This window comes from Homo sapiens, chromosome 6 (assembly GCF_000001405.40).
Source record: "Homo sapiens chromosome 6, GRCh38.p14 Primary Assembly".
Lineage (NCBI taxonomy): Eukaryota > Metazoa > Chordata > Mammalia > Primates > Hominidae > Homo > Homo sapiens.
In genome coordinates, this window is record NC_000006.12 from 156,290,885 (window position 1) to 156,297,901 (window position 7,017).

Sequence of the window (7,017 nt, forward strand, 5' to 3'; positions counted from 1 at the left end):
TCCTGACCTCAGGTGATCTGCCTGCCTTGGCCTCTTGAAGTGCTGGGATTACAGGCATGAGCCACTGTGCTCGGCCTGTTTTTTAAAATTATTTATTTTTTCATCCTGAAAGTAACCAGATGTGCTAGGTCTTAACAAGATTCCTAAATTGAGATGGGCAGTGATGATGAAGTTAACTATTAATGTTATCTACAGCTCCTAGACTACAAGGCTGTGAGGTCAAGTTCATATTCTCTTTGTTTGCTGTGATATCCTGAGCACAGAACATGGTGCATAGTACATAAGCATAAACAGCTATTTACTGAAGGAAGAAATTAATGACTCAATAGCATTGAGAAACAGGAAATGAGGGAAAAATTAATTTTTACATGCCTGCTACATATGTACATTTTATACCACTGCAAATAAGTACAGATAATTTAATTAAACTAACATTCTTCTAAACTTTCTCTCCTCCAGCACACATTCTGAAATACAGAAACAACACTTGCATTTTTATTGATCATAGAGCAATGGGTGATTGATATTGAAATCTGTAGGATTACTTGTAGTATACATGCACATGCATCTTTTCAATCACTGATTATCAACCAGACAGCCTCAACCATAGCAAAAGGGGAGTCGTAATCTAGATATTTGAAATCTTTTTTTTATTTTTAATTTTTGAAGACTTAGCCTCTTGAGAGAAACTTTGAAGAAAACATTGAATGGAGAGATAGGCCTTTAAATACCAGGATTATCACTCCCTAAAATAGATATGTCGCAGACTCCCCAAACAATGATGGGAGATGCTCTTAGGTGGCAGAAAATTTACTTTTCTTTTTTTTTTTTTTTTTTTTTTTTAAGAGACAGGGTCTCTCTTTGTCACCCAGGCTGGAGTGCAGTGGTGCAATCATAGCTCACTGTAACCTTGAACTTCTGGGCTCAAGCGATCCTCCCACCTCAGCCTCCCAAGTAGCTGTGACTACAGGCATGCACCACCATGCCCGGCTAATTTTTTTATGTTTTATAGAGATGAGGCCTCACTATGTTGCCCGGGTTTGTCTCAAACTCCTGGACTCAAGTGTTTCTCCCACCTTGGCCTCCCAACGTGGTGGGATTACAGGTGTGAGCCACCACACCTAGCTGAAAAATTACTCTTAAGGAAGACAAAGGTAAAATTCTTGAGAGTCTTGTGACAAAGGAGAAATGAGCTTTTGGGTGTGGTACAGGGAAATAGAATCATATAGCCTCTAACAGTCCCCCAGAGGTATCTCAGAGGAAACGGGAAGCCTGTTCCTAGATGCCTGCACCCTTGTGAGCAGACAGAGGAAGGAACACAGCAACAGCTTCAGTTGCCCAGAGCCTGTGGGGATGATAAGAACAACAGGACAGTGTGGGGCTGCCAGGTGACCTAGCAAGAAAGGAGGAAATGGCAGGGTTTGAATGCCTATGCCTTTACTGGTTTGGGGCTCTGAGACAAGAGGCCCACTGGCATTTGGATTCGGGGTCTTGTTTATCCCTGGTTTTAGTATGCCTTAGAAAGGGAAGAATAATAACACTGAAGTTACTTAATATTTGAGATATACATCCAAATTCTTACTATCTTCCCTAACTAGTTTGCTGAAATCCCAGAATTCTAATAAAAATTAGTATTCTTAACCAAAATTCATGAAATTCATCCACCAAACTAATCTGGAAATTGTCAGGACAAGCTTCTTATCATCTGTCAGCATTTCTGGATCTTTCCATGTTCAAAGGAAATATTGATGTGCAGGAAAAAAAAAAGATAGGAATGGAGAGGTGGTGAGCAGGGGAGAATGTAATTCTGATATTTTTCAAACCATAAAAAAAGTTTGAATCAGGCAGGGCATAGTGGCTCATGCCTGTAATCCCAGCACTTTGGGAGGCTGAGGCAGGTGGATCACTTGAGGCCAGGAGTTTGAGACCAGCCTGACCAACATAATGAAACCCTGTCTCTACTAGAAATACAAAAAATTAGCTGGGCGTGGTGGAAGGTGCCTGTAATCCCAGCTACTAGGGAGGCTGAGGCACAAGAATTGCTTGAACCCAGGAGGCAGAGGTTGCAGTGAGCTGAGATCATGCCACTGCACTCCAGCCTGGGCAACAGAACAAGATTCTTGTCTCAAAAATTAAAAAAAAAAAGAAATAAAAAAAAGTTTGAATGAGGAAATGCTGTTATCTATCACAACAACAGAAGTGTACACCTTAGGTCTATGCTTTTATGATTCTATGCATTATCCCAATGTATTAGCTAATCATAAGCACCACACTATACATTTTTGTCAGGTTGGGTAATTTAATTGGTCATATGTGACTAAATATTATAAAGTCAAGTGATAAATTACAACCTGATACAATCACTCAAATCATCTTCATAGATCACAGAGTTATATATTCAATACATGAATATTCAAGAACATAAAACTAGTAGCACAATTTTTCACAGTATGAAGTTATTTGGTGGGGTCAGGGAGAAGTAGGAATAAAGACTTATTTCATCCAAGCATTCTAATACTTATTTGTTCTGAAGAAAAAAAATGCAACTGCTGTATTGCCCTTATTTGGCAGGAGTTTAGAATGTCTATTTTTACCATTCTTTCATTGAAGGAAAGTTGGGTAGGGGAAGAGATACAAGCTAGGAGCATTGTGTATAGTCCATTCTCACACTGCTATAGAGAACTACCTGAGACTGGGTCATTTATAAAGAAAAGAGGTTTAATTGACTCACAGTTCTGCAGGCTGTACAGGAAGTATGGTTGGGGAGGCCTCAGAAGACTTACAGTCATCACGGAAGGGTGAAGAGAAAACAATCAACTTCTTCACATGGCAGAGCAGGAGGAAAGAGTGAAGGGGGAAGTGCTACACACTTTTAAACAACCAGATCTCAAGAGAGCTCACTCACTATCACCAGAACAGCAAGGGGAAAATCTGCCCCCATCATCCAGTCACCGCCCGCCAGCTTCCTCCCCCAACACTGGGGGATTACAATTCAATATGAGATTTGGGTGGGGACACAGAGCCAAACCATATCACATGGTTATAGTCTTCTCCCTACATGGGACCCCTTTCCACCCTCCCTTCCTCTCTTCTGTATGTGTGGCCCAGTCAAGTTGCTTCTCACTCTGTGCAGAGACCTGCAGGAAGAAGGTTTAACTGAAGGCCTCTGACCAGGGCTACCATCCTTTGTTAACTTATCTTTGCACCTTCCTACATAGGCCTGCTCAGAGACGGGGAGACATAGGGTGTGGCACTGAGGGAGAGCCTGTGTCAGAGCACGAGCTGAGTGGAAACGAGAGATGCTTGTCTGTGCTGACCCTCGCCTCCCTAGCAAAAGATGAGGTGGACTTCCAAATTCTCTCTGAGGAGAATATGACAAATACTAGCCACTCTGAGCAAGAATCAGTCAAACATAAAATCCTTGTTGATTCTGAAAGTCCCAAGCCTTCCTAGACAACCCATCAAGAAGAAACCAGTACCTGTCTCCATGGTGCCTCACATAAATGCGTAATGGATCAGTAGGTAATTGTGAGGCCAATGTCATTTCATCACATTGGAAGCAGGAAAATTGAGAAACAAGTCAGAGGGAAAGTTGAGGAAATCCAGAGATTAACAAAATCCCAATGCGACAAGATGCATTTCTCTACTTCCAAAGAATCACAGCTCTATCCAAGTAGCACGTATTTTATATAACATTTTTAACTATGTATTTCATTTGATTAAAGCTCTCCAAGCATGCAGGTAAATTATATCATCAAAATGAACCCCATCTGGGTGTTCCTACCATGAAAAGATGCTTAATCACTGATGAAGAATCACTCTCTCCGTAGTCTTTTCCAAACAGCATTCCAGGAGTCAGCAATAGCCATTCTGTGGGCAAAAACAAACAAACAAAAAAAAGATAAACAAAAGTCCAGGCTGGAAATACATTTTCATATATGTGTAAATTCAGATCTCCCTCCCATGGAACCATATTTTTTTCATATATACGACAAAATATATATGGCTCCACAGGAGGAAGATCTGAAACTACACCTGCTATAACAATCCAACATGACTTCTGATATCAGGTGACTACATCATCAAAAAAATACAAATATGGAAAACTGTTGTCATTGTTTTAATAAAAATATTTTTGTATGCCACATATTAGAGTAGAAAAAATAAAATGTGTGTGATATATGCATATATCGCCCTAAAATTCAGGCCACGCTGCAGAACAGCACAAGAAATCATGTGACGTATGGATTTCACCCACTTACCTCTGGCCTGTGCCACTACACAGCTGTATATTTCCAATTTAGAATTGGGATGTTGCAGTTCATTTCATATTAAATATTACATTTCATTGTTCCCATGACTGAAGGACATTTTACATGAAAATGTTTTAAAAAGTCATATCTTGTTTTTGAATGATCTGAGCAAAACAAGAAAAATGCTAGAATACTTCAAGGAAGAGAAACTGTAGCTCTGAGTTCTAAAAAATCAGTAGGGGAGCTGTACAAGATGAAACAGTAATTTTTGGAACAACCTAATTCAAAAGAACTCAACTGCTGTAACATGTGCAGTGATGTTTCTCTTCCATTTATTAAAGAAGAAGTCCTGTGGAATGACAGACTTCTCAGCTATGAATGAAACAAAGGTGGGGCTCCATGGGAGGAAGATCTGAGTCTACGCCCGCTATACCAATCCAACATGACTTCTGATATTAGGTGGCTATGTTATGCTAAAAATGCTACAAATATGGTATAGTGTCTCATTGTTTTAATGGAGATATTTTTGTATGCCACATTTTAGTGTAGAAAAAATAAGTGATGTTTTACTATTTCTGAATATACTTGGCTCTTAATAAAATATAAATGATTACATTTACCTAATTTGTTTTTTGTTCTGTTTTGATAAATTAAATTTGATCACTTCTTGTAGCAATTAATTTATCCAAGAAATCTTTCCCAGCTACTTTAATCCAAGCTCACGTTATATCTAATGAAACCCTATTGAAGTTTCAGCAACAGATTATAATTTTTAAATTGCCTTATATTAAAAATAAAATGAGTTTAGCTTTGCATTAAACACACAGCCAGAGTAAGCTGTGTGTGCCCAGCAGGTAAGTGAAAAGTCCACAGGACTTCCAGTTTCCGGCCTAGGATATTAGGTGTTCAGAAGTCGTCACGTCATCCTAAAAAGTAAAAAGCTGAACAAACTGAAAAATCAACAACTCTTCTTAGATCTGTGAAAGAAGTAAGATCACAGTACAAACTGCCACCCCCAAAGTTGGAGAAATAGAGAAGCAGATACAGAGAAATACAATTTACCAGAGCAGAATCCTCCTAGCAGAAACCCTGCGGGAACCAGGTAGGAGAACTTGAACTGTAATTGGCAAATTGCTAGAAGTACAGTGTAGATCATCTGAGAGATAAAAACTCCAATGAGACCTAGTTACATCAAGAACTCCACACTTTTGAGAGTTTTACCTACAGTCCTCACAGTGAAAAACAGGTAAACAAAAATAAACAAAGAAACAACCAAACAAAAAACCTTCATGCTTCCAAAAGGAAGAAGGAGAAAATGAACCATTTGGAAATACACCAGAGCATTCAATTCTTGTTAATAAGGCCTGTCCTCCAGAGAAGCTATTTAAAAGCCTAAACTGTTGGGGTTTCATCAGTTTAAGTGGGGGAAGGAAAATATCTAACTCCAGTCTGCTCTAGCCTTCCATGTGGGAAAAGAGAAATAGCTAACTTCAGCCCACTGTTGTGAAGTTAATAATTCAAAGGCACAGGCTCACTATTTCTGAATATACTTGGCTCTTAATAAAATCCCCCATCCCCCTACAACTCACCACTGCCAACTCAAGAGTGTTAAGAGGTGGGGCCTAATGGGAAGCATTTAGATCATAAGGGCTCTGTTCTCATGACTGTATTAATATTATTATAAAAAGAGTTGACATCAATGGGATTGCTGTCTTCACTCTTCTGCCCTGTGAAACAGTTTGTCCCTTTTTACCTTTCCACCTTTTGCCATGTGTGGACACAAAAAGGGCCTCACTAGAAACCAGATGCTAGCACCTTGATTTCAGACTTCATAGGCTCCAGTACTATGAGAGAATACATTTCTCATGTTTTAATACAATTATCCAGACTGAGGCATTCTGTTATAGCAGCACAAAACAGACTAATACACATGCTAAGGGTTCTAATGGATAAAGTAGACAGCATGCAAAAACAGATGGGAAATTTGAGCAAAGAGATCATGATTCTAAGAAAGAATAAGAAAGAAATCCTACAGATCAAAACACTGGGACAGAAATGAAGAATTCTTCAATGTGCTTCTCAGTAGATTGGACACAGCTGAGTATAGAAGTTCTAACCTTGAGGGTATGTCAATAGAAACATCCAAAACAGAAAAACAAAGAGAAAAAAGATTGAGAAATAAACCAAGGAGAATATCCAAGTGTGGGACAATTACAAAAGATGTAACATATGTGTAAAGGGAATACCAAAAGGAAAAGAAAGAAAGAACAGGCAAAATGTTTAAAACAATAATGACTGATGATTTTCAAAAATTAATGTCAAACACCAAACCAAAGACACAGGAAGCTCAGAGAATACCAGAAGGACACATTTTTAAAGAAAAGTACACATAGACATATTCAAACTGCAGAAAATCAAAACTAAAGACAAAATCTTGAAAGAAGACATGAAAAATAAACTTACCTACAGAGGAGCAAAAATAAAAACTACATCCAATTTATCCTCAGAAACCATGCAAGCAAGAAAAGAGTGAAGTTAAGTATTTGAAGTGTTAAGAGAAAAAAGAAACCCACCAACCTAGAATTTTGTACCCTGAGAAATTATCCTTCAAAAGCGAAAGAGAAATCTAGACTTTTTCTGACAAACAAAAACTGACGGAATTTGCTGCCAGTAAATCTGACTTCTAAGAAATGTTAAAAGAAGTTCTTGTGCCAGGCACAGTGGCTCATGCCTGTAATCCCAGCACTTTGGGAGGCCGAGGTGG

The 7,017-nt window shown here is 38.8% G+C and overlaps 1 long non-coding RNA gene across 1 annotated transcript in view; it reads right to left on the reverse strand.

Annotated features, from left to right (window-relative positions):
* LOC101928923 (uncharacterized) overlaps positions 1-5,387 on the reverse strand; it is a 487,547-nt gene extending 482,160 nt beyond the window's left edge. Inside the window, exons 1-2 of the long non-coding RNA XR_001744423.2 lie at positions 5,316-5,387; positions 3,785-3,870 (exon numbers count right to left, since the gene is read on the reverse strand). This is a non-coding gene — a long non-coding RNA (uncharacterized LOC101928923). The remainder of the gene's footprint in view (positions 1-3,784; positions 3,871-5,315) is intronic.
* Positions 5,388-7,017: the final 1,630 nt, after the last annotated feature.